The 26,098-nt window shown below is 53.5% G+C and overlaps 1 protein-coding gene and 1 long non-coding RNA gene across 3 annotated transcripts in view, besides 5 other annotated features; both read left to right on the forward strand.

Moving 5' to 3' along the window:
- TAB1 (TGF-beta activated kinase 1 (MAP3K7) binding protein 1) overlaps positions 1-25,251 on the forward strand; it is a 37,353-nt gene extending 12,102 nt beyond the window's left edge. The window contains exons 2-11 of one of the 2 annotated variants that reach the window (NM_153497.3): positions 3,125-3,261; positions 3,619-3,772; positions 4,910-4,996; positions 5,830-5,968; positions 6,851-6,964; positions 7,638-7,749; positions 9,946-10,090; positions 14,822-15,044; positions 16,140-16,302; positions 24,609-25,251. In NM_153497.3, coding sequence (NP_705717.1) covers positions 3,125-3,261; positions 3,619-3,772; positions 4,910-4,996; positions 5,830-5,968; positions 6,851-6,964; positions 7,638-7,749; positions 9,946-10,090; positions 14,822-15,044; positions 16,140-16,302; positions 24,609-24,690 — 1,356 coding nt within the window. In that variant the 3' untranslated portion in view covers positions 24,691-25,251. Of the gene's footprint in view, positions 1-3,124; positions 3,262-3,618; positions 3,773-4,909; positions 4,997-5,829; positions 5,969-6,850; positions 6,965-7,637; positions 7,750-9,945; positions 10,091-14,821; positions 15,045-16,139; positions 16,303-18,133; positions 20,002-24,608 lie in introns of those variants that run through there. The other variant, NM_006116.3, reaches the window with a different exon arrangement.
- Positions 3,291-3,792: an enhancer, noted in NCBI's record as "H3K4me1 hESC enhancer chr22:39811177-39811678 (GRCh37/hg19 assembly coordinates)". NCBI's record gives its function as "activates a minimal SCP1, AML or CMV promoter by ChIP-STARR-seq in naive H9 embryonic stem cells {active_cell/tissue: H9 hESC(naive)}" and the evidence as "EXISTENCE:reporter gene assay evidence [ECO:0000049][PMID:30033119]".
- Positions 3,793-4,292: an enhancer, noted in NCBI's record as "H3K4me1 hESC enhancer chr22:39811679-39812178 (GRCh37/hg19 assembly coordinates)". NCBI's record gives its function as "activates a minimal SCP1, AML or CMV promoter by ChIP-STARR-seq in naive H9 embryonic stem cells {active_cell/tissue: H9 hESC(naive)}" and the evidence as "EXISTENCE:reporter gene assay evidence [ECO:0000049][PMID:30033119]".
- Positions 16,999-17,641: an enhancer, noted in NCBI's record as "H3K27ac-H3K4me1 hESC enhancer chr22:39824885-39825527 (GRCh37/hg19 assembly coordinates)". NCBI's record gives its function as "activates a minimal SCP1, AML or CMV promoter by ChIP-STARR-seq in naive H9 embryonic stem cells {active_cell/tissue: H9 hESC(naive)}" and the evidence as "EXISTENCE:reporter gene assay evidence [ECO:0000049][PMID:30033119]".
- On the forward strand, positions 20,279-25,247 carry LOC100506472 (uncharacterized). The gene is made up of 4 exons (NR_040535.1): positions 20,279-20,782; positions 20,936-20,985; positions 21,348-21,355; positions 22,244-25,247. It is a non-coding gene; the product is annotated as an uncharacterized LOC100506472 (long non-coding RNA).
- Positions 21,632-22,350: an enhancer, noted in NCBI's record as "H3K4me1 hESC enhancer chr22:39829518-39830236 (GRCh37/hg19 assembly coordinates)". NCBI's record gives its function as "activates a minimal SCP1, AML or CMV promoter by ChIP-STARR-seq in naive H9 embryonic stem cells {active_cell/tissue: H9 hESC(naive)}" and the evidence as "EXISTENCE:reporter gene assay evidence [ECO:0000049][PMID:30033119]".
- Positions 22,351-23,068: an enhancer, noted in NCBI's record as "H3K4me1 hESC enhancer chr22:39830237-39830954 (GRCh37/hg19 assembly coordinates)". NCBI's record gives its function as "activates a minimal SCP1, AML or CMV promoter by ChIP-STARR-seq in primed H9 embryonic stem cells {active_cell/tissue: H9 hESC(primed)}" and the evidence as "EXISTENCE:reporter gene assay evidence [ECO:0000049][PMID:30033119]".

A 26,098-nucleotide genomic window follows, 5' to 3' on the forward strand; every position in this document is an offset into this window, starting at 1 on the left:
ATTACTCTATGAAAGAGAGAGAGAGACTGTTGATGCACACAGGCTAACAACTTGGATGAGTCTTAGAGACATAATGTTGAGTGAAAGAAGCCAGTCTCAGGAGGTCATGTTTACTGCATCATTTCATTTATGTGACATTGTGTGACATTGTTTTGTTTTGTTTTGTTTTGTTTGGAGACAGAGTCTCACTCCGTCGCCCAGGCTGGAGTGCAGTGGTGTGCAATCTCGGCTCATGGCAACCTCTGCCTCTCAGGTTCAGGTGATTCTCGTGCCTCAGCCTCTTGAGTAGCTGGAATTACAGGTGTGCGCCACCACGCCCGGCTGATTTTTGTATTTTCAGTAGAGACAGGGTTTCGCCACATTGGCCAGGCTGGTCTCAAATTCCTGGCCTCAAGTGATGAGCCCCTCTTGGCCTCCTAAAGTGCTGGGATTACAGGCGTGAGCCACTGCACCTGGCGTTTAATATGACATTCTTAAAAAGACAAAGCCATAGCAGTGGAAAATAGGTTGCCAGGGATTAGGGGAGGGAGTGCGTTGGGAGTGGAGCTGCCCTGTATCCTGAGAGTGGTGGTAGTTACACACATCTCTACATGTGTCAACATTCACAGATGTGCGTGCCCCAGAAGCCAGTTTTACTCCATGTTAATGTAAAAATAAAACAAACTCCCACACCCTGCAGAAGTTGCTCCAGGGTGCAAAATGTAGAGCTGAAGCACCAAAATAGATAAAAGCAGAATAAAACCAATTATATGAAAAAAAGTGAAGTCACTCCTGTCAGTATATAACTAAACAGAAGCTACAATTTGCCACAAAAGCTAACCACAGGCTTTTTATATATATGATTGCAAAAGCCTGTTGAAGTGGTTTCCACATCCTTTCTGGAAGACTTAACAATAACTTTTAAGAAGTTGCACACAGTATCTGTGTGTGTTTTATTTCTTTTACAGATGATTCACTGTTGGCATATAGAAATGCTACTGATTTTTGTATGTTGATTCCATATCCTGCAACTTTTTTTTTTTTTTTTTTTTTTGAGATGGAGTCTTTTTTTGAGATGGAGTCTCGCTCTGTCACCCAGGCTGGAGTGCAGTTGCACGATCTCGGCTCACTGCAAGCTCCGCCTCCCGGGTTCATGCCATTCTCCTGCCTCAGCCTCCAGAGTAGCTGGGACTACAGGCGCCCGCCACCACACCCGGCTAGTTTTTTGTATTTTTAGTAGAGATAGGGTTTCACCATGTTAGCCAGGATGGTCTCGATCTTCTGACCTCATGATCCACCTGCCTCAGCCTCCCAAAGTGCTGGGATTACAGGCTTGAGCCACCGCGCCCGGCCCATATCCTGCCACTTTACTGAATTTGTTTAATCAGTTCTAATAGTTTTTTGGTGGAATCTAGGTTTTTCCAAATATAAGATTATATCGTCTGCAAACAAGGATCATTTAACATCTTCCTTGCCAGTTTGGATGCCCTCTATTTCTTTCTCTTATCTGGTTGCTCTAGCTTGTGTTTGTTTAATATTTCAATAAAGCTTTCAATACAATTTTTTTTTTTTTGAGACAGAATCTCACTCTTGTCGCCCAGGCTAGAGTGCAGTGGCATGATCTCAGCTCGCTGCAACCTCCGACTCCTGGGTTTAAGCGATTCTCCTGCCTCAGCCTCCCCAGTAGCTGGGATTACAGGCATGCACCACCATGCCTGGCTAATTTTTTTGTGTTTTTAACAGAGACAGAGATGGGGTTTCACCAGGTTGGCTAGGCCGGTCTCAAATTTCTGACATCAAATGGTCCACCCACCTCAGCTTCCCAAAGTGCTGGGATTACGGGCGTGAGCCACTGCACCCAGCCAATACAAATTTTATTTTCCTTGAAATTGAACTGTGGTTCTCCCAGTTATTCCAGTTTGCTGTAGTTCTGCATGGTGGTTCTGGGAGTGCCGTTGTGAACAAAGCGCAGTTTTCAGGTGGGAGGCCAGATTTGGGGCAAGCTTTCAGGGAGAGGCAGGGAATTGCACCTGGGCCTTGCATCAAAGTTGTTCCTGGGGCTTAAAAAGTACAGATGCTCAGGATGTACCCTAGGGAGATCTGGGAAATTCAGAAATTGTGTTTAGGCCGGGGATGGGGCCAGGGCCTGGACCGCTGTGTGAGCGTGTTTAAAGCTCTGCAGTGATTATGCTGAACAGCCTGGTTTGAGATCCTATGGGGTAGAATGGGCATTGCAGACAGGCAGGGATGCTGGAATCAGGGTGCCGTTGGGGTACATGAGAGGGCCATCAGCCAGTCCTGGGTAGGGTCATCCTGAAGGAAGACCTCCTGGAGGTGGTGACTCCTGAGCCAAAGAGTCCCGAAGGACCCGGAGAATTGGTAGGGAAGAAGAGGGAGGGTGTTCATGTGGAGGCAAAGAGCAGGGGATGGACAGGGCTGTAGGCATTTGGGACTGGGAGGGAAGGATGTGGCAGGGGAGATGGGAGAGGACATCGGGGTGGCATGAGGATGTCCTATAAACTAGCTCATAAACTCCGACTTAAAAGCCAGTCTCAGTTACTCTCCCTGGTACTTGGAGGTCCCAGTGCCAGAGAGAGTGACTGAGGCTAGCTTATAAGTCGGAGTTTCTCCAGGCTGGGTCTTAGGTCACCTGAAAGCATCACCCATGGGGAGCGGCCTGCACTGCAGATGTCCCGGGCCCTGCCCAGATCAGTCATTCTGAGGGTGGGGCCTGCAGCCTGCAGTGTTGGTAACCAATGCTCAAGGGATTTCTTTGTAGTGTGCATTTGGAGCCAGTGCAGTAAGAGGTGGGGTCCCCAGAGTTTCCTGCCAAGAGTCTGCGACATTTGTGTGTGTTTCACTAGGTTTCATAACGGCTCACTCCTGGAGGTCATTGCTGCGCCTTACATTTGGGAATGGTGGAGTCTCAGTTTTCCTGGGAAACAAGTTTGTAGACTAGCCATAAAAACAGCAAACCCTTCTGCAGGTGTCTGTTCATACAAACATTATTGTTTTCCAGAAGGAAGTGGAACCCTCTGTGTAGGGCTGCGGGCCTGCTAGGTTTTTGTTGCAGAAGGAATAGGTGAAGTGGGGACTACCCTGCAGACGCGGTGGCGTCTCACGGCTTCCTGGTGTCCTTCCCCAGGAGCAGCAGCCAAGCTGGACAGATGACCTGCCTCTCTGCCACCTCTCTGGGGTTGGCTCAGCCTCCAACCGCAGCTACTCTGCTGATGGCAAGGGCACTGAGAGCCACCCGCCAGAGGACAGCTGGCTCAAGTTCAGGTGTGTGTGCCAGCATTTCTGTGTTGGGCCCGGGGAGTTGGTTGGTTTGCAAGCAAGGAAAGACACCGACCTTGCAGCTTTCTCGTATGGGCTTGCCAGTGACATGTGGCCCGTGAGAGGTGGCCTCTGCTGCTGTCTTGCCAAGGGCCTGCTCTGATGGGGTAGCGTGAGCATGGGGAGGAGGGTATCCCAGAATGTCATAGCCAGAGTGAAATGATGGCTAAAGCAGGGGGACCCAGGAGGGCCCCTGAAGCTGCAGCTGCTGTCGCTTTAGTCTCCCCCAATTCCTTTCCCTTTCTCCCTCCACCTCCGTGAGACCCTGGTCTCAGGCCTCCCTCTGCCCTCTCCCTCTTCCAGGAGTGAGAACAACTGCTTCCTGTATGGGGTCTTCAACGGCTATGATGGCAACCGAGTGACCAACTTCGTGGCCCAGCGGCTGTCCGCAGAGCTCCTGCTGGGCCAGCTGAATGCCGAGCACGCCGAGGCCGATGTGCGGCGTGTGCTGCTGCAGGTAATGGTGCCGGGGCCAACAGTGACCCAGCCACATCATGTCCCCCACCCCAAGGCTTGGGCCCTGCACCTCTAGCATGTTGCCAGGGTTGGTGTGAAGATCCTGCCGGCCCCTTCACCCCAGTAGAGGAGCAGCTCCCAGCGTAGGCCCCCCCACCCAACAGGAGTCCAGGACCAGCCAGCGAGCAGCAGGCCTTCAATGGCTGGCAGAGGAGGTACTGCTGGAGACGGGGGGATTTAGGGATGGGAGCTTGGAGAGAGGTGTGAGGTGGGAGCAGGGCAAGGCCTGGTAGAAATGGGGTCATTTAGAGCTACCCCTTTCTTTCCTATGTGGTCAGGTGCTCAGCCTCCAGGTGCAGGAGCCATCCCTGGGCGTCCAGGAAGGACCTTGCCTCCCCTTTCTGAGGGGCCGCCGCCCTCATTGACTGGTTCCACCTTTCTGCTTGCGCTGTTGGCAGTTTTCCTCCTGGCATCTGCTTTCAGGAGCATGTCTCAGGCCCATTTCAGATGAGAAGATGGGCTTCTGTTCCCGGAGAGGGGTGGTGCCAGCCTTTTCCTGCCCTTCACGACCTCAGGCTCCATTGCCAGTGATTCTCAGCAGATCTCACACAGGGGGAGAAGGTGTCAGTGTCACCAGTGTCCTGGGGCTGGTGGGGTTTGACAGAAGCCTCCCAGAAAGAAGTTGTAGTAATCATACGAGCTGTCATAGGCCTGGCAGTTTCTCTGAGCAGTTGCCTTGCTGAGTGCCAGGTTGGACTGTCTTACCTAACCCCTGGAACAACACTTAACCTCCGTTGTGTGAGACTGAGGGGGCCAGAGGTCACACCAGCTGGGCCTACGCCAAGCCTTTGCTCTTAGCTTCCGCACTGTCTCCTGCCTCCCAGCCGTCTGCAGTGCTGCCTCTGCAGGGTGCACACCCCTTCGAGGCTGAAGGGCTTTGTCAAAGACATTGATCTGCAGGAAGCAGCCGGTGCCTTGCAGTGCTGGGCCAGAGGCAGGACTGACATGTGGAAAGCTCCATCACACAAGAACCTGCAGTGAAGACAGCAAAGCTGCTGCTCTGATTAATAGAGGACATTTTGGCACCAGTGACAGTGGTGTTTTGAACCAGCCTTTGCCCTGTCCTGTGTCCCCCTAGGCCTTCGATGTGGTGGAGAGGAGCTTCCTGGAGTCCATTGACGACGCCTTGGCTGAGAAGGCAAGCCTCCAGTCGCAATTGCCAGAGGTAATTTCCCCAGCCGACACCCAGGGGAGTCAAGTCCAGGCCCAGCTTTGCAAGGAGCATGGACTCATCTACTTTCTTGACATTACTGGGCCAGAGCAACAGGCGTTAGGGAGCAGTTCCTGATGGGTGACACTGGTGTGTGGCCACAGGTGAGGGACCTCGCTGCTCTGCTGTGGGCAGCTGCATGCTAAAGCTCAGCAGTGTCTGGGCAGTGGTGGACATGAGGAAGGGCTTTTCCCAGTCCTTCGTCCTGAATGGGTCCCCGCCCTTGTCAACCACCTGCTCACATCGCCTACTGCCACCTGCAGCGCTTACCTCTGTGCTGTGAGTTCGGTCATCTCCAGCTTTCTGGAAGAACCTTAGCCTGGAGCTGTAGCGAAGGCTTCATCTTGGCTGTGCCATGGACCATCTGTCTGTCTGTCCCCCGGGCCCTCGGATCTTTGCTCTTAAGAGCAAAGGGAGGCCGGGCATGGTGGCTCACGCCTGTAATCCCAGCACCTTGGGAGGCCGAGGCGGGCGGATCACAAGGTCAGGAGATCAAGACCATCCTGGCTAACATGGTGAAACCCCGTCTCTACTAAAAATACAAAAAATTAGCTGGGCGTGGTGGTGGGCGCCTTGTAGTCCCAGCTACTCTCGAGGCTGAAGCAGGAGAATGGTGTGAACCTGGGAGGCGGAGCTTGTAGTGAGCCGAGATCATGCCACTGCACTGTAGCCTGGGGGACACAGCGAGACTCCATCTCAAAAAAAAAAAAAAGAGTAAAGGGAGTGGAGAGGGCTAGGAAGATGGTCCAGAGTTCTGTCCTGCCCTGACCCTCTGTTGATGGTTGTAGGGAGTCCCTCAGCACCAGCTGCCTCCTCAGTATCAGAAGATCCTTGAGAGACTCAAGACGTTAGAGAGGGAAATTTCGGGAGGGGCCATGGCCGTTGTGGCGGTCCTTCTCAACAACAAGCTCTACGTCGCCAATGTCGGTGAGCCCCCTCCTGTCCCAGGGCAGGGAGGACTGGGGAGAGGTCAGCCACAGGGGTCGGTGCATTATTTGACAATCTGCTTTCCAGACACTTCACGCACTTTAAACCCAGGGTCTCCTGAGACCGTTGGGTATGTCCCTCTCCACAGTGACGCCTCAGTCCCAACTGGAAGGGAGAAAGGACGGGATGGGAGACAGGTGTCCTGGCCTTTAGTCCCTATTCTGCTTCTTAACTCATTCTGGACGAGTCGTATCCCATTCTGGGTGGCCTTGGGGGCCGCTGCTTCTGGAAGAGGTTACCTGGCCATGAATAACCAACCAGTATCCCCATGAACAGCTGCGAGATGGGGCTAGGTGACAGGGACATTGGGGTTTGTGAGAAGACCAGACAGGTGCAGGTTTCAGTAGAAAGGACTCTGTAGAGACCCTTCTGATGATGCTGCCTTTTTTTAATACTCCAGTGGAAAATTTTCCACAATATAGAACAATAGAGTGACTGATATTTAATGAACATTCATGCGCCCATCCCCAATCCCAGCAGTTATCAACTGTGGCCAGCCTTCTTTGTCCCCACGTTCTCTATTTTGAAGCAAATGCCAGACACTGTATCATGTTATCTGTAAATATTTCAGTCTGTATCTCTAGAGAAGAGGTCTGTTTTATTAAGATCATAATCCTATGATTACACTGAAAAAGTTAAACCCAATTCTTTCGTATCACCAGCTGTCCCTAACTGGTGACTCACCCCGTTGGTCTGAGCCTGTTTTGCCCATTTCAGGTATTTCCATGTGTGAAATGCCTGCCTTTTCCCTCTCTGCCTTCCCGGTATGCCCTATTTCTCTCTGTGTGTAGTCTTTGCTTAGCTGTTCACATTCTGCCACAGGTACAAACCGTGCACTTTTATGCAAATCGACAGTGGATGGGTTGCAGGTGACACAGCTGAACGTGGACCACACCACAGAGAACGAGGATGAGCTCTTCCGTCTTTCGCAGCTGGGTGAGTGGGGAGAGTGGGAGCGGAAGCTGATCCCCATGGGCTCACCCTTCGCCTGCCTTTGGTGGTGGGGTAGAGAGGCGTGTGGTAGAGGGGCTGTGATCTTGGGCTCCCCAGCCAGCCTGCCTGGGGTTCATTCCCAGCACTGCCGCTTACTGGTTGGTGATTGGAACTTAAGTTTTCTGTGCCTCAGATCCCCCGCTGTGTAATGAGGATAATAGTAACCTACCTCGGGATGCTAGGAGGATTCAGTTAGTGCATGTGAAATGCTTCCTGGAGTGCCTGGCACACAGAAGACACTTACTGTTATTGGTGGAGACTGAAAGAGGCCAAAGAAGTCCAGGGAGCCCAGCTGCTGCTGAGCTGCTCCTTCCCTTCCCAGTGAGCTCCAGGCAGATGTGGGGCACACGGGATGGGCAGGGAGACGGCAGGCAAGCTGCTCCGTGCCAGGTGGTGCCTGGAGGACGGGCTCTGAGTGAGGTGTGTCGTGATGGGCGTGGGGACTGAGGACACCAGGGACTTTGGGTCAGCTGCTCTCCCAGGTGCCCTGGTGTTGTCTTCATTTCCTATTCAGTGGGTCCTTATTGCCTTCTTCCCATGACTGTGTCTCTGTCCCCTTCTTTTTGTTCCTCTTTGTGAACAAGAAGCAGGATTGTTGCACTGTTTCCCTCCGTAGGCTTGGATGCTGGAAAGATCAAGCAGGTGGGGATCATCTGTGGGCAGGAGAGCACCCGGCGGATCGGGGATTACAAGGTTAAATATGGCTACACGGACATTGACCTTCTCAGGTAGGTGCCAGCCCAGCTGTCCCCTGTGCTTGAAAGAACAGAAGGTCCTAGGGAGGCCAAGATGGGAGGATTGATTGTGCTGGGAGGTCGAGGCTGCAGTGAGCCGTGATCATGCCACTGCACTCCAGCCTGGGCAACAGAGCAAGACCCTGTCTCAAAAAAAAAAAAAGGTCCAGAAGGCCTGGGGCAGACGCAGACTGTAGGCCCCAGTGACACATGTGCAGTCAAAGTAGTTCAGAGCCCAGGCAAACTCTTTCTTCCTCCCAGAGAGGTTGGTTTGGGGCAGGTTAGGCCCAGCAGGCCAGGAGTTGGGTACTGTAGAAACAAGGGGTGGAGTTGAGCTGGGCCAAAGCTGAGGGCAGCAACTAGTGCCACAAGGGAGGCAGGCGAAGCCAGAGTTGGCATGGGATGGACAGACCAGGCCTGTTGGTCGGTGCTGCCCATGGCTGCAGCAGAGGTGTGAGATGAATTGTGTATTTCCCTCTGAGGACACCTCCTCTGGACATCACCCCAGCGCTCATGGCAGCAGAATGGGCAGTCATCATCACACGGCCAAGCCCGTGCAGAGCTCTGGATGTACCTTCTTTTATGCATTCCCTACTCAGGCCCCCTGAGGCAGTCACTGCCATCACCCCAGAGGCATTTTCATAAGAGGAAACTGAGGCATGGAGACATCAGGCAGCCCACCCTGGTCATGGGGCTTGAACACAGGCAGCCTGAATTTGGAATATGTGTCCTTAACCGTCAGGTAACCTGTATGTGAAGTGTTGGTTGGGGAGATAGGCGCGTCCACTTGCCTGATGCCAATCATGGCATTTAATGTCATGGCCAAGGCTGTTCCCAAAGCCAGAGTTCCCATCAACAGAGGCCTCATGGCCTAGAAAGTGCATGTTAGAACTCCTTGCCCTCACGCGATCTAGGCAACTGAGTGTCGAATATTTGTCCCTAATTTGTGGGGTCCTGTTTCCTTTATTGGAAAGGACATCCATAGTTTAAAACACTTCAGACAGTGCTGGGGTCTATACAGGGAAAGGAAGTCTTCCTACACCACACTCTAGGACTCGCTGCCTCCCCAGAGGCTGCTAGTTTCTTGTGTATCCTGTTCCAAAATCTGGCCACATGCACATATACACACACGGTGTCTCTGTGTGTGTGTGTGTGTGTGTGTGTGTGTGTGTGTGTGTGTGTTTGTCCTGGGGGCCAAGGAGCCTGCATCCTTTTCGGAACACCCAGGTGCTGGGGTGTCTCTCTCTGTGTGTGTGTGTGTGTGTGTGTGTGTGTGTGTGTGTGTGTGTGTTTGTCCTGGGGGCCAAGGAGCCTGCATCCTTTTCGGAACACCCAGGTGCTGGTGTGTCCTGCCCCTCCCAGGTGCTGGTGTGTCCTGCCCCTCCCAGGTGCTGGTGTGTCCTGCCCCTCCCAGGTGCTGGTGTGTCCTGCTCCTCCTTCTTTTCTTTTTTTTTAAACCCTAAGGTGTAATTGGCATATGCAAAGCTGTGCCTATTTCATGCATACAACTTGATGAGTTTGGAGATATGTTTACACACCCCTCACTGCTATCATTAAAGGTGCTCATCTCTTCATTCTGCTCACCTGCAGTTAGGATGGCGTCATTCTGTGTAATAACCGCTCCCAGGGCCCAGCCCTGGCTGACGGACCCTCAGGAAGTTCTTAGACTCCGCTCTTCTGGATGGTGTTGCCAGCACCTCCTCATGTACTTACCTCCATGTGCACACACATGTGTTGGCATGTAATGACTCTGACCCCAGTCACTAAAGGATCCCTGTACACATGGAGAGTATCTGGGGTCTCAGCCATCTGTTTTGGAAAAGCCCAAATAATAGCAAGAGGCTTGGGCTCCCAGGGATAATCCCTCCCTCTTGCTGTCCCACACCCTGCCCTGCCACCACCGGACCCTGTGAACAGGACGTATGGAACAGGCCAGAATCGGGCATTCAACCTTTGCCATCCTGACCTCAGCTGCCTGCCAGTTTTTATGGCCTTCCAAGCTTTATTTTAGCAGCTGCTGTAAGACGATGGGTCTATTTTTCTGACCTTCTCTTTCTCTCTTTTCTTTTCCTCTTGTCAGGTTGTGTGTTTTATTTTACATTCTGGGCATAGATTCCTCCCCTCAGCAGAATCAGCATCCACCTGCGGGCTGTTCCAAGCAAAGCTCTTCCTTCCACTCTCTCCCCATAGCGCTGCCAAGTCCAAACCAATCATCGCAGAGCCAGAAATCCATGGGGCACAGCCGCTGGATGGGGTGACGGGCTTCTTGGTGCTGATGTCGGAGGGGTTGTACAAGGCCCTAGAGGCAGCCCATGGGCCTGGGCAGGCCAACCAGGTGAGTTGGGCCCAGCCACGCCCATGGCCGGAGAGCGTGGCTGGCCTGCATGGTGATGTGCTCACCCTGCCTTCTAGCACTGTGATTCTCGGAGGCCGTCACCAGACATCTCTGGGTTCAAAGCTGGGGGAAGGAGAATCCCAGAGCTCTGAAAACACCCATCCCACCCAAAAACTTGACTCATTTTAGGCTTGAAGCAGTGCCAGTCCTCAGGGCCTGAGCAAGGTCTGAAGGGAAGAGGGGGAGATGGATGTGAATTGCTATGGGCACGGCATTACTCTGAGACGGCCAGGAAGGGGCCAGGGCCAGGAGGAGAGCACAGAAAGAGATGTGCAGAGTCCTTCCCACACCCATCACTTCCTGCCAAGGGCCTGACGGCTTTACTGCCCTCCCTGAGTGGCAGACAATTTATAGTTTGCTTCTCATTTCTTTTTTTTTTTTTTTTTTTTTTTTTTGAGACAGCGTCTCCCTCTGTCACGCAGGCTAGAGTACAGTGGCATGATCTCGGCTCACTGCAATCTCCGCCTCCCGGGTTCAAGCAGTTCTCTGCCTCAGCCTCCCAAGTAGCTGGGATTACAGGTGTCTGCCACCACGCCCAGCTAATTTTTGTATTTTTAGTAGAGACAGGGTTTCACCAGGCTGGTCTCCAACTCCTGACCTTGTGATCCACCCACCTCAGCCTCCCAAAGTGCTGGGATTACAGGCGTGAGCCACCGCGCCCGGCAGTTCACTTCTCATTTCTACAGTGAGGATGGTAACATCTGCCTTTGTGAGATCGCAGTGAGGTTAGGCGTGGTAGACACAGGCCCTCAGCCAAGAGTTGCTTATTTTTCTTATACCTTGGAGTCACCAAAGTGTGACTTCAAGACAGTCACGTTAGGGATGGTCTCAAAGGAAAACTGTCTTTCCCTGACCTCCTTGGATTGCTGACTGGCTAAGATAAGTTCAGTTTGTGTTCCTCCTCCTTTCTGTGATTCTTGTAGGAAGATAACCTTTTCTGCTTTGACTTTTTTTTTTTTTTTTTTAAGACTTGCTGTGTCACCCAGACTGGAGTGCAGTGGCGTGATCACGGGTCACTGCACCCTCAACCTTCTGGGTTCAACCGATCCTCCAGCCTTAGCCTCCTGAGTAGCTGGAACTATAGGTGTGTGCCACCACACCTGGCTAATTTTGGTTGTTTTCTTTGTTTTGTTTTTTTGGTAGAGACAGGGTCTCACTGTATCGCCCAGGTTAATCTCAAACTCCTGGTCTCAAGTGATCCTCCTACCTTGGCCTCCCAAGATGCTGGGATTGTAGGCATGAGCCACTGTGCCCAGCCTGCTTTGTCCTTTTTAATTAAAAATCATGTATTGGCCGGGCACAGTGGCTCATGCTTGTAATCCCAGGACTTTGGGAAGCCGAGGCAGGCGGATCACTTGAGGTCAGGAGTTCGAGACCAGCCTGGCCAACATGGTGAAGCCCCGTCTCTACTAAAAATACAAAAATTAGCCGGGTGTGGTGGCAGGCACCTGTAATCCCAGCTACTCAGGAGGCTGAGGCAGGAGAATCGCTTGAACCCGGGAGGTGGAGGTTGCAGTGAGCCAAGATCGCACCACTGCACTCCAGCCTGAGCAACAGAGCAAGACTCTGTCTCAATCAATCAATCAATATCATGAGGAAAAAGTCTTCTTTAAAATTTGAAAATTAATTTTTATTTCAGTAGCTTTTGAGGTACCAGTATTTTTTTGTTATAGGGATGAATTATGTAGTGGTGAATTCTGAGATCTTAGTAAACCAGTTATTCCAGTAGTGTACATTGTAAGTAATGTATAGTGTTTTATAGTGTACATTGTAACTAATGTATAGTGTTTTATAGTGTACATTGTAACTAATGTATAGTGTTTTATAGTGTACATTGTAACTAATGTATAGTGTTTTATAGTGTACATTGTAACTAATGTATAGTGTTTTATAGTGTACGTTGTAACTAATGTATAGTGTTTTATAGTGTACATTGTAACTAATGTATAGTGTTTTATCCCTAGCACCACTGCCATCCTCCCGCCTTGAGTCTCTAAAGTTCCATTATATCACTCTGTATGCCTGTGCATTCCCATCATTTAGCTCCCACTTACGAGTGAGAACATAGTTTGTGGTTTTCCACTCCTGTGTTACTTAGAATAATGGCCTTCATCTCCATCCAAGTTGCTGCAAAAGACATTCATTCTTTCCTTTTACTGGCTGAGTAGTATTCCATAGTTTATAGATACATTTTCTTTATCTGCTCATTAGTCAATGGCCACTTAGGCTGGTTCCACATCTTTGCAATTGTGAATTGTGCTGCTATAAACATACGTGTGCAAGTATCTTTTTCATATAATGACTTATTTTCCTTTAGGTAGATGCCCAGACTGCTGGATTGAATGCAGATCTACTTCGAAAAAGTCTCAAGTGCCTAACTATCCCCTGTTCCCTGTGTTCTGATTTCTTTTTTTTTTTTTTTTTTTTTTTTGAGATGGAGTCTTGCTCTGTTGGCCAAGCTGGAGTGCAGTGGTGCAATCTCGGCTCACTGTAACCTCCACCTCCCGGGTTCAAGTCATTCTTCTGCCTCAGCCTCCTGAGTAGCTGGGACTACAGGCATGTGCCACCACCACACCCGGCTAATTTTTGTATTTTTAGTAGAGATGGGGTTTTGCCTTTTTGGCCAGGCTTATCTTGAACTCGTAACCTCAGATGATCCACCTGCCTTGGCCTCCCAAAGTTCTGGGATTATAGACATGAGCCACTGCGCCCAGCCTGTGTTCTGATTTCTTTACCTGTTATATAAGCTTACCATTCCTTCCAGTAGCCTTATAACATAGAGGGACAGGGGCTTATTTCCAGGTAGAGTAGGGAATTTGGGGTCCACGGAGTTCAGGTTCTTGCCAGAAGTGACGTTGCTGCTTAGTGTTGAAACTGAGCCCACCAGGACCAGGTGCAGGTCATTTCCTATTACCTGTCCCTGCCCTCCTGCCCCGCCCAAAAGAAACTTTATGATGGTGAGAAAGTGATACATATTCAGTGGGAACTGTGCTCCCATACCCCTACAACCATTCTGTTTTTCACTGTCAAAACAGTACTCAATAAATTACATGAGATTCGGCTGGGCGTGGTGGCTCACGCCTGTAATCCCAGCACTTTGGGAGGCTGAGGCGGGAAGATCACTTTAGGTCAGGAGATCGAGACCATCCTGGCTAATACGGTGAAACCCCATCTCTACTAAAAATACAAAAAAAAAAAAAAATTATCTGGTGCATAGTGACGCACGCCTGTAATCCTAGCTACTCGGGAGGCTGAGGCGGGAGAATTCTTGAACCTGGGAGATGGAACTTGCAGTGAGCTGAGATCACAGCACTGCACTCCAGCCTGGTCAACACAGTGAGACTCTGTCTCAAAAAAAAAAAAATTACATGGGATTCAACATTTTCTTATATAATAATGAAAATAGGCTTTGTGCTAGATGATTTTGCCCAGCCGTAGGCTAATAGAAGTGTTCTGAGCACATTTAAGGTAGGCTAGGCTAAGTGATGATGTTCAGTAGATTAGGTGCATTAAATGCTTTTTCTTTTCTTTTTTTTTTTTTGAGATGGAGTCTCGCTCTGTCACCCAGGCTGGAGTGCAGTGGCTCGATCTGGGCTTACTGATCACCTCCCGGGTTCACGCCATTCTGCCTCAGCCTCCCGAGTAGCTGGGACTACAGGCACCCGCCACCACGCCCGGCTAATTTTTTGTATTTTTAGTAGAGATGGGGTTTCACCGTATTAGCCAGGATGGTCTCGATCTCCTGACCTCATGATCGGCCTGCCTCAGAATCCCAAAGTGCTGAGATTACAGGTGTGAGCCACCACGCCCGGCCAAATGCTTTTTCAACTTACGATATTTTCTTTTTTTTTTTTTTTTTGAGACAGAGTCTTGCCCTGTTGGCCAGGCTGGTCTCGGCTCCCTGCAACCTCCGTCTCCTGGGCTCAAGCAATTCTCCTGCCTCAGCCTCTCAAGTTGCTGGGATTACAGGCATGTGCCACCATGCCCAGCTAATTTTTGTATTTTTAAGTAGAGACGGGGTTTCAACATGTTGGCCAAGCTGGTCTCGATCTCCTGACCTCTGGCAGTCCTCCCACCTCAGCCTCCCAAAGTGCTGGGATTACAGGCGCAAGCCACTGTGCCCGGTCAACTTATGATATTTTCAACTTACAGTGGGTTTGTCAGGACATAGTCCCATCCTAAATTGAGGAACATCTGTATACTAGACAGGGACTTCTCTGAGGTCAGGGACCCTGTTTTCATTCTGTATCCCCAGTTCCTGACAAAATCCTAGCATGTATAACATCGCCTACAACAAGTTTGTTCCAGGAAAGAGTGTTTCATAATAATGACACTTGCTACTAGGCTTTTTAGTGGCTGGCAGAGTGCTCTCACACCACTGTTAGTTAATACTCGTATTCACCCAGTCAAATGGATGTTCTCCCCATCCTAGAGGTGTGCACCCAACAATTAGAGCAATCACAAGAGCACACACTTCCTAATGAGAAAGTTCCAGAAGGATTATCCTGAATACCTTGAAAGGCTCAGATTGCAAACTTGGCTGGCAGGCATTTCCTTCACCTGCTGGGCTGTTGACCACTGAATCTCCTGATTTTAGGCTCCAAGATTATGGCCCATGCCCCCCAGGCCGCACCTCGTTCCTTACCAGGTTCTTCCTACCCCCTCCCCCAGGAGATTGCTGCGATGATTGACACTGAGTTTGCCAAGCAGACCTCCCTGGACGCAGTGGCCCAGGCCGTCGTGGACCGGGTGAAGCGCATCCACAGCGACACCTTCGCCAGTGGTGGGGAGCGTGCCAGGTTCTGCCCCCGGCACGAGGACATGACCCTGCTAGTGAGGAACTTTGGCTACCCGCTGGGCGAAATGAGCCAGCCCACACCGAGCCCAGCCCCAGGTACGTGTGCTGTGCAGACAGGCAGTGCCTGGGGATGCCATCTGGGGGCCAGAGGTGGGTGCAGAGCCCCCGAGGCTGCTTGAAACGGAGATGGAGTCAGGAGGCCTGGCTCTGAGTGGCTCTAATTCAGGTTCTCTGATTTTTAGCCTCTCTGAGCTGAGTGTTGATTTTTGCTCTTTTGTCTGTAAAATGAGGTTAATACCACCTGCCCCGGCAACCTCCCAGAACCTGAGTGCCCCAGCAAGCAATTCACAGAGCCCTGAAGCCACATAATAGAGATGATGGCCACCACTGATTGAGTGCCTCCCTTGTGCCAGGCACACAGCCTGCCTTATTCCCTTCAGTCCTCATGGGCAACCCTAAAGACAGGTGGTACCCCTGTTTTCCAGAGAGGGAAACTGAGGCTGAAGAATGAAGGGACCTGGAAGAGATTAGGCATGTGGACAGATGGTCAGGCCCCAAGGCCTGTCTGTCCCTGGGCTGCACTGGAGCAGGGCAGGGAGAAGGACGTTTTGCTTTTTACCTATGTCATTCTTCAACCAAGTTCTCAGGAAAAGAGGTGGCTGCTCTTTCCCGTGCTCCCCCCAGTGCTGCTCAGCACTAAGACCTTCGGTTCCTGAGGGCTGCATTTCTTTTTCTTTGCTTTAAACAAGCAAATCTTAGATAAAGCTCAGGCATCCACAGACAGATTTGTTCTCCCATGGACACCAGGGTTATTGGAGTTTCTCTGGCCTGTTTTTATTGCAACCATATTTTTATTGGGTCAGCCTCAACTGGGAGCAAACTTATCCTCTGAATTAAAGCATCCATGGGAAGCCAGGCAGTAACCCTTTCCTTGAGGCAACTCGAGCACCAGCAGGATTTACTGCTATAAGGAGTTCTCAGCCCGGCCTGGAAGAGTCTCTGACAAGGGACACTCCTCCTGAGCTGTCCCAAGGGGCAGGGGGCCCCACTGGGCTTGGGGAGCCAGGCATGGCCGCCACCCACACTCAGCCCTCAGGCACCACCCCATCAGGCCATGGAGCAGCTATGCCCCTGCTACCCTGGGTTTCTCCTCAGCTGCTGCCTGAGGCCCCCACTCTCTTCCTCCCAAAGCTGCAGGAGGACGAGTGTACCCTGTGTCTGTGCCATACTCCAGCGCCCAGAGCACCAGCAAGACCAGCGTGACCCTCTCCCTTGTCATGCCCTCCCAGGGCCAGATGGTCAACGGGGCTCACAGTGCTTCCACCCTGGACGAAGCCACCCCCACCCTCACCAAGTAAGTCCCTTCCCCACTGAGCCACCCCCAGCCCTGTCACCCCCGTGTGTGTCCTGTGGCACCAGGACAGAAATGGCCATGGGGCCAAGGCTTGTGGATGAGATGCCCTGGGGTCTGGAATTCCCCAGCTCCGTGCCTGGTGAGGGAGGTCTCCCTAGAAACTGAGGCAGGTGCGATTTTTGGTCAGGTGGCTGATGGTCCCAGCCTACTTCTCGTATTTTCTTGTGGGCCCATCTGCTGGTTTCATTCAGTGGAAGGTTTCCTTTCATTCCTCACCTCGGTGTGATGTGGGGTGGCTTCCTGTGGTGTCCTTGCTTGAGGACATTGTCTGGCCTGTACTGGCTTGTCAGAGCCCATGCTTTCTGGCTAATGTGCTTGATTTTAGCTTTGAAGTGAGTTCTCTGGTTTTGGGGCAGGGGGCGAGGTAGAGGCAACAGCCTGAGGGGGATGCGGCCAGGCCCCCTCCAGCCGCAGACCTGCCTGACAGGTCTGGAGTACACCCCACCCCCTTCACTTCCTTAGAATGTGCACTCCCCACACCAGGGGACCCAGATCTGGTTTCCACATTCCAGCCCTGCATGGAATGATAGAGATGCCACACCCAGCCCACTCTGAGGATGGAGTGCGCAGGATGTGGCCAATTAGAAAGGCCCTGGAGGGGGGTGGGCGGCCTGCATGCCTCTGCCCCATCAGGGGGCCTTCCTTTCCCTCTGCCTCTGGGTTGTGGATGCTGCGACTGCTGCCACGGGGCTAGAAAGGCCTGCCAGGCCGAGCAAGCTCCTTGGGCATCCTGAGTGCAGTAGGGGTGGCCTCTCCAGCACCCCTGCCGGGCTGCCTGGAGGAGTCCTCCAGCTGTGTCCACAAAGCAGAGTGTGAGCGCTGTGGCCCTAGACAAGGCAGGACAACCCACTCTCCTCCCCTGCCTGTGTTCCTCACTCCTTTCAGCGTCTGAGCCATAGTTGGTCCCACCATGGGCTGGCCCTGTGCTGGTGCTGGGCAGCGCTAACAGGCAGTTCCAGCTGTGATAGAAGGTGGGTGCCCGTCCCCACCCAGCTGATGAGAAGAGATTGAAGGGGAGGGGGGCGAAGGAAGGTTTTCTAGAAGAAGACACCTTGCCCGCCCTGCTGAGTAGGTCCTGGGTTGGGACGGGTTTAGAGAGATGGTAATGGACAGTCGGTGGTTCAGCTTCACCCGAGGAACTTCCTGTGATGACGGGAGTGCTCGCGTGGGTGCTGTCCTGTCACGGCGTCTCTAGCCACTTGTGGCTATTAGACGCTTGAACTGAGTGTTCCATTTTCTTTCCATTTTTTTGAGACGGAGTTTCACTCTTGTTGCCCAGGCTGGAGTGCAATGGCAAAATCTTGGCCCACTGCAACCTCTGCCTCCCAGGTTCAACCAATTCTCCTGCCTCAACCTCCCGAGCAGCTGGGATTACAGGCACACGCCACCATGCCTGGGTAAATTTTTTTTGTATTTTTAGTAGAGATGGGGTTTCACCGTGTTGGCCAGGCTGATCTCGAACTCCTGACCTCAGGTGATCCACCCGTCTTGGCCTCCCAAAGTGCTGGGATTACAGGCATGAGCCACCGCGCCCAGCCCCATTTTCTTTACCTTTAGTTCATTTAAGTAGCCACATGCATCTGGTGCTTTAAAATTTGACTTTTTATCTGTTCCTAAGATCATCTGGCTGGGCCAGCTCCTATGGTCACCTCTGCCAGAAAGGCCTGTGGCCCAAGAGGCTGGTAGAGGCAGGGGCCATTCTGTCCCCACTCTGCCCCAGGCCCCTTGACCCGGCTGCTTCTGATTGACTCCCTCCCCTGTTGTCCTGCAGCCAAAGCCCGACCTTAACCCTGCAGTCCACCAACACGCACACGCAGAGCAGCAGCTCCAGCTCTGACGGAGGCCTCTTCCGCTCCCGGCCCGCCCACTCGCTCCCGCCTGGCGAGGACGGTCGTGTTGAGCCCTATGTGGACTTTGCTGAGTTTTACCGCCTCTGGAGCGTGGACCATGGCGAGCAGAGCGTGGTGACAGCACCGTAGGGCAGCCGGAGAATGCAGCCCAAGCAGGGCCTGGCATGGGGCAGGACAGGGTCCAGCCTTTTCCTAACATCTGCCTGTGCCACAACGGCCAGCAGGTGCCCCATCCTCTGCCCACAGCAGACTCTGTCCCATGGCTCTCCGGGCAGTAGAGTGTGTGAGTGCAGACTGGACCTGTGGTTCATACCTTGTCACCACCCGGGAAGCTGAAGGCCACTTCCTCCCAGATGGCCTCAGCCAGGACCATCGCCCTTTCTCAGAGCAGAGGGCCAGGTATAGAAACCGCAGTGGGCCTGCAAGCCGCCCGAGCCTCCCCAGCAGCCTCCTACAGAGCAGGAAGAGGCGCCCTGTGAACCCTGAGTGTTGCAGGCCCAGCAGACCCTGCTGTCCCAAGCCCACCCCTCCTCCCACCATCACCTCCCTCACCTCGGGACAGTAGCCCTCCACTTCTCCAGCCTCTCAGCCCTGTGCTCCTGCATCCAGAGTGGAACCCAGGCTGGTGTCCGCATCTGTCCCTGGGCCCCACCCCTGGACCTGCCTTGGTTGTGTCATCTGTTGTAAACGTTCAGGAGGACCAGGGCAGCATCTGGGGCCTGGGATGGCCACAGAAGGGGCAGGCCAGGTGGAAAGGAGCCAGGGGGAAGTGGTCTAAGAGACCTGGAACTGCCAGAGGATGGCGGCCTGGGCTTCCCCAGAGCCAGGCGTGCGGGAGAGGTGAGGACTGGCCCCGGTGGGCTGAGGCAGGGGCCGCTGTCGTCAGGCCTGAGCCAGGGTGAGCTGGTGCCTGCCTTGCATTTTCCTTCTGGTGCTGTGAAGACCATAGGCTGGCAGGCAGCTGAGATGAACTGTCTTTACCACTGATGAGGGGCCTCTGCCGGCTGAGGGTAGCAAGCAGGGGTTGTGAGTCAGGCTGGGGGACTTGTTTGAAAGAAAGAGGAGTGGAAAATGGTTCCAGGAGGGAAGAGGTTCTTTGAGACACAGTACCCTGGGAGGCATAGGAGAAGGGTCGGGCCAGCCCAGCCCAGGGCCTGAGTTAGACTATTTCCCACATGTTCTCTGCCTTCAGTGGGGAGGGGGTGCCACCAGGGCTGTCGGCCAGGATTGCCACTCCTGTTTCAGAGGAAGCAGGCCGAGAGACTTGCACCTTGGCCAAGCCACACAATCAGTGGGGCAGCCAGAGCTCAGACCTGAGCCATTTTGTCAGTATCCAGGACCCCCCGGATTCTCCACGCCCTCCCCATCTCCCAGTCTCCCTGCCCCCCATGCCCCAGACCGGCCCACCAGGGACTAGCCGCTGTCGCACAGCCTCTGGGGTGCTTGGTCTCTGCGAAGTCAAAGGCCTGACAGCTCTGTGGCCTGGGAATCCATTTTCCTGCGGCAGAGCAGGGCCTGGTGTGGAACCAGGGAGCTGTGGGAAGCCACAGCAGAAATGGAAGAAAAACAGGTCTCAGCCCAGGGTCCTCGCTCACTCCCTCACTCCCCACTTTGAAGCCATCTCTGTTCTGCAGGTGAGAGGATTTAAAGTCAGTCACAAAGGCTTGGGAACAAAAGGAATTCTCTTCCAAGAATGCCTCTGTGGTGCTGTTTGGTCTCTAGAAACAGGGTCACTTTTTTAATGTAGTAAAGAAGTAATAAATGGTGGCATTACACATTGTGATATTAATAGCGCTGTTGCTCATGTTTCCTGTAACTCGCAGTGGCCCTGGGAAGTGGACGCCTCCCCTCTTCACTGCCCTGGAGGTTCAAGAACTCGGCTCGCCAGGCTGCTAAGTGGCAGGGCTGGGATTTGAACCCAGGCCTTCTGGCTGCATTCCATGCTGCCGCCCCCACAGCCCCGGGGAAACATGGCTTGCCTGTTACCTCCCAGGCCCACTCTCGGACCCAGATGTGTTCATGCACATCTGAAGGGGGTGACAGTTTTCCCTGCTGCAGGCCAAGCCCTCTGGCCCATGGCCAGTGGCAGGGTTGTGGTGCCAACTCCACTCTGCTGAGAGTGAGCCTAGGGTCTTGGTGTGTGAGTGGTGCTGTGGCCACCCGGTGCTCAGGTCACCAGGGCGGAGGCCTTGCCCTCTTGCCAGCTAGTTTGCTTTACTGGGTTTTGCTTTGGGGAAGGATCTTCTATAAATACCAGTCCATAGAGCACTTCATCCTGCTTTCTGGGACGTAAGAACTCATCCCTCTAAGAAGAGCCTCTGCAACAGAAACCGAAACAGTGCATCTGCTTAGGAACAAAGCCACTCTCTGTCTGGTGTGGTCAGAGGGTCCCGGATGTCCCCCCCTCCACTCTGCTGGGCAGGGGCTGTGCCTGCGGAGCTTCCTTCCAGGATCTGTCCTTCTCAGCTTCCCCAGCCGAGCCGCCAGGGGTCCTGAGGACCACCATGGCCCCTGAACACTCCTGGAGCTTTGGTGTCAGCCCTGCCACCCGAGAGAGAGAGAGAGACATGGTGAGTAACTGAGGCACAGACAGGTTCAGGCACAGTCCTGGTCACAAGTGGCCACCATGCAACTCTGGGCCCCAGGTCTCTCCCAGCACCTGCTCTGCCCTAAGCGTGTGGGGCCGGGCGCTGCACTGTTGACTTTATGTCCCCTGTCCCCAGCCTTGGTGTTACTTACTGCACTTGAGCCTGTCTCCTGGAGGGAAATGAAGGTGAGAGGGACACTGTTTCATCTAAGAGGGGAAGCTCGGGAATGGGTTTGAGGACTTAAGGGGCCAGGAGTCAAGGTAAGGAAAGTGAATGGCACAGCGAGGCGAAGCTGTGCAGCCCTGGTGGGTCACTGCCACCGTCCACGTCCCCAGGTGGCGTCTGACACAAGGTGGGCCAAAGTGGCCCTCTCCAGCCTGTCTGCCTCCCATAGCCTCCGTGGGGAAAGCACTGAGGCAGGATCAGATGGAACCAGAGAAGCCCATCCCCCACCTCCTGCCCACTCATTCCTTAAAGACATCAGTCTCGGCCGGGCGCGGTGGCTCAGGCCTGTAATCCCAGCACTTTCAGAGGCCAAGGCAGGCAGATCATGAGGTCAGGAGATCGAGACCATCCTGGCTAACACGGTGAAACCCTGTCTCTACTAAAAATAAAAAAAGTTAGCCGGATGTGGTGGTGGGCACCTGTAGTCCCAGCTACTCTGGAGGCTGAGGCAGGAGAATAGCGTGAACCTGGGAGGCGGAGCTTGCAGTGAGCCAAGATAGCACCACTGCACTCCAGAGCCTGGGCGACAGAGCGAGACCCTGTCTCAAGAAAAAAAAAAAAGACATCAGTCTCTCCCAAAACCCAGCTAGGTTGCTGGCTTGACGGAGGTCCTGGCCCTCAGAAATCCCGTTGTCCCAGGACGGGGGCAGGTGGTCTGAGGGCGCCGCAGCACCCGTGAGCCATCCTCACTAGGAGTTGTACCGTCCTGGTCTGGTCGTCTCATTCTCTCATGAGCTGGGAGCTGGCAGCAGAGCCAGGAGCGGAGCTGCAGAGCAGGCTCCCCACGATGCCCGTGTCGGGATGTTCCTGCCAGTGGCAGTGGGGGCAGCCGGGCCTGTCTGGAGCGACTCCAGGCTGCTCAGACATCAAAGGGAAAAGCACCCGATTGTGTTGTTTGCGGGGCTAGTTCCTTCTTGTCCCTCAGGTCTTAGCACAGATGCCCCCTCTGGAAAGAGCCCTTCCCTGGCCCCCACCCCACCGCCCCCTGCCCGTCTCCCTGTTGTTTCCTCCATGGGTCACTCACTCTCAGCCTGTATCCGTGTCGCCTCTCGCCTGCTCCACGGGAGCAAGGGCTTTCTCTCTTATTCCACTAGGTCCCAGCCAGGCACGCAGCAGCCCCTCACACAAGCATGGCATGAGTCAGGGAGGAAGGGACAGAGGGAATGGCCGTGTGACCTTGGGCAGTAACTTGGGCTGGTTTTTCATGTACAAAATGAGGCGACGACCCACTTAGATTGCTGAACACATCGAGTGGCCATAGCCGTGAGAAGTGAGAGCTGCCCCTGCCCTACTGATGGGGAGACAGGTACAGGTGACGGGAGCGTTAGCCGAGATGTCCACCCATCCACCACACGCCTATGGGCACCCTTGTGCCATGAGGGCTCAGCCTGGGCCCTGGTGGAAGCAGGTACCGGGTCGATGCTACCTGCAGCCTCATCAGAGCCTAGCTCTTGGGCAGCGGGCGTGGTTCTGGCCTCTTCACAGCCGAAGTGCAGACAGGGGCTGTGGGCCAAGCTCCTGAAATTTCCGCCGACAAGGGCATCTTTCATGAGTCTTCCTTCTGGGCCCCCTGTTTTGAAACCAAACAAGGATGCAGATTTCTGCCAATCCCGATGAGCTCGGCATGAGCACAGGCTCTGTTCCCACGCGGAGGTGATGTCAGCCCCGAGCAGAGACAGGCGCTTGGCATTCCACGAGCCTGGGCGGCCGCGTCAGGGACAGACACAGTGTCTGACAGCTGGCTTTGAGAAATACTGACACCAGTTCACAGACTCCATTCCTACCTTCAGGGACCCCCAGAAAGGTGAAAGGACCCCAGGTTGTGTGACCAGTCACCTGATCCAGCCCCTTCTTGTCCTGGTTCTCCCATCACAGAGGGGCCAGGGCAGGGCAGGAGTGGGCCTGAGAGCCCATGGCTGGTTTCCACATGCGCCATGATTAAGCTCCTGCACTCGGCATTTCAGTAAAGCCATCTTGTGGTACAGACAGTGCTGACATCAGAACCTTCCGTGGATCCAGCCTCCTACCTCCGGGTACCTGCTGTGTGGGAGTCACTCCCCTCCCCCAGCCCTGGATGCTCCTCCAGTCATCCCAGTAGCTCAGGGCCAGCCCCTGGGATGTGTCTAAGAACATGAGTGGACAAATAGATGGACTGCCCAGAGCAGGGTTTCTGAGACTTCGCTGCAGGATATGTCATCGCCCTGCAGAAAACTACCCCCACCCTAGGACCCCCCGAGTTTTGGGGTTTGTAAGAAATTACATGTCTCATTTATTTTGAACAGGTGAATTTTGCAGTCAAATTCTTGTGTTCCATTTTAGTACAAAAATAGCATTATCTTTTCAAAAGTAACATTTTGAAATTACTCATCAAATAAATTGATGCTTCAGGAAGAGCTGTGTCAATCCTGTAGGTTTATAGATCTGCGCTTCACAGGAAACCCCAGCAGGTCCCCGGCTGCCGGGCCCAGGTGATCCTAATGAAACTCTCCACTGCTCAGGGCCAGGTGCCTTGCTGGGAGCTTGCAAAGCCTTCACTCCCGCGGCCCTCACCCAGCCCCTGAAGGGCAGCGATTTGTGTCTGAAGGTTCGCTGGGTCCTACTGCTGGCGCCCATTTTACAGATGTGGAAAAGCAAGCACAGACCAGTTAAGGAGCTTGGGCAGAGTGACTGGGAGACAGTTCAGCTCCGTATCAGAAAGGGCTTTCTAAGCGTGCGTGCTGTCACATGTAAGCGGCTCCCTGTGGGTGGTGGGCCCCCTTCCCCACCACCACCCTGACATCACAGGTGTGAGCAGCCACCGCACACACTGGGCATCACATGGGCCGGGGAGCCTGGCTCTACAGCACAGTCCTTTGGCCATGAAGAGGGGGTGGTAGTGAAGATACAGAGTCCTTGGCTTGATAGGAGGTGGGGCTGACAGCCTCCCATCTTCCAGCCTGCCCCAAGACCACGTGACCTTTCCTGACCTGGTGCTTCTGTAAGTCCCACCTCCCGGGTGCCCCTGGGCGACCTTGGCCCATAAATCTCTTTGATCCCCATCTCATCTTCAAATGAAGGTTTACAGCTCAGCTTTTTAAAAAAATAAAAATAACTAGTAGGTTCTGGCTGGGCACGGTGGCTCACGCCTATAATCCCAGCACTTTGGGAGGCCAAGGCAGGTGGATCACCTGAGGTCAGGAGTTTGAGACCAGCCTGGCCAACATGGTAAAATCCCATCTCTACTAAAAATACAAAAAAGTAGCCAGGCGTTGTGGTGCATGCCTGTAGTCCCAGCTACTCAGGAGGCTGAGGCAGGAGAATCACTTGCACCCTGGAGGCGGAGGTTGCAGTGAGTGGAGATTGTGCCACTATACTCCAGCCTGGGCAACAGAGCGAGACTCCGTCTCAAAAAAAAGAAAAAAAAAAAGGAGTTCTAACTACGTTCCAGGTATGTAGCTGACGTGTAATATCTCATTTAACCTGGCAAAGAGTTGGTATCCGTGGCCTCAGAGAGGTTTAGAAAGTTGCCCAAGATCACACAGGAGCAAAGATTTAAACTCTGGACTTTTCTTCATGTGTCATGAAGTTTCCTCCTGATTTTCAGAGACCCTTCCAGGCCTGCAAGCGATTTGACAGCCATCCCTCAGTGCCAACTAAACCTCCTGGGCAGCCTGACCCCAGGGTAGGAAGGAAGCGCCTACACCAAGGGGCCCTCTGGGAGCTGAGATCATCCTGGGGTTTTGTCGCCTGGTCTGACTTGTGCACTGGGATCTTCTCGTGCCAGGCCAGGCCCCGCCCCCTCCCCGGGACTGGGCAGACCCCCTCCCTCATGCATCTGTGTCCACTGAGGCTTCCCTCACCTAGAATGGCCCATCCTTCAGGACCCAGCTCACTCTCATCTTCTTTCCAGGGACTTATCCCCCAAGGCTGTCCTCTGTTCTGGTGAGCTCAGGGCTCTTGGAACTTGGTCTGCAGTGACTCTGGGGTTCCTGGTTAGGACCCATGTTCTCTAGGTCCCAGCACCCTGCACGGGGCAGTGTTTGTGACACTGGGCCCAGCTATTCTGAGAGAAGGACTCCAACCTTCCATCAGGTGTGGCCCGAGATGTGGGTGGCCCTGGGCATGGGGCATGGATGCATTGTGACTTTCATGGGCCTCTTCTGCAAAAAAAAAATTAAAATTATACTTTATGACTATTGGTAGAAAGATAAATATATTAATACATTAAAATTTCTCTTTGAGTAAAAGTTCATTTTCTTCTGTTTTAAAGGTAAAATATTTCCACAGCCCCCTGAAAGGATGGTGGGCCCAAGGGTTCATGCCTGCTGCACCTCATCAGGAGGGTGGCTGTGAGTCGGGGGGACCAGCGGGGCCTAAATCAGCCTCTTCAGTGCGGTGGCCTGCAGCTAACGTCCCCATCCCAGCCTTCCTGAACTTTCAACCACCCTGGGGCCTCAGACCCAGGAATAAGATTCGAGAACCGGTAGGGGGAGCTGAGGTGGGAGAATCGCTTGAGCCTGGGAGGCGGAGCTGCAGTGAGCCGAGATCGTGCCACTGCACTCCAGCCTGGGTGACAGAGTGAGACCCTGTCTCCAAAAATCCAAGAAACTTTCAAGAACAGGTGGAAAGAAATCCGGAGATGACAGAGAGGGATGTCCCCTCCCACTCTGCTCCTTTCCTCCGAGCCTTTGCCATGGCTGTGTTGGCTTCCTGGTGTGCCCTCCCTTTACCTCTAGCCAGCAACAAAGCCTGCCGGGCACCAGGCACCAGGTGTGCCGCCAAGTAGGGGCTGAGGCTGGCAGGGTGGGGAGAGGGGAGGCCGTCAGAAAGTCTCTGTTAATACTCCGGCCCTGCAGGGGCTCAGTCTCTGCGGAAGATAAAACTACACCTGGAAGTCTGGCCAAAACGGCCAGAATGGGCCCTGAGACCCAGGCCAAGGGGAGACCCCTTCTGTCTGATGAGTTCCGGAACCTTCCCAGAGCAGGTGGGCTCTGCACCGGGCCCTGGAATGCTCCTGAGGGGTCTGGGCTTCCTGGGACTGACTGCCAGGCTCCTCCTGTGCTGGCAGCTTTGCTAAAGATGACGGGCTAAACA

The sequence above is a fragment of the Homo sapiens genome, chromosome 22, assembly GCF_000001405.40.
Source record: "Homo sapiens chromosome 22, GRCh38.p14 Primary Assembly".
In the NCBI taxonomy this organism is placed as follows: Eukaryota; Metazoa; Chordata; class Mammalia; order Primates; family Hominidae; genus Homo; species Homo sapiens.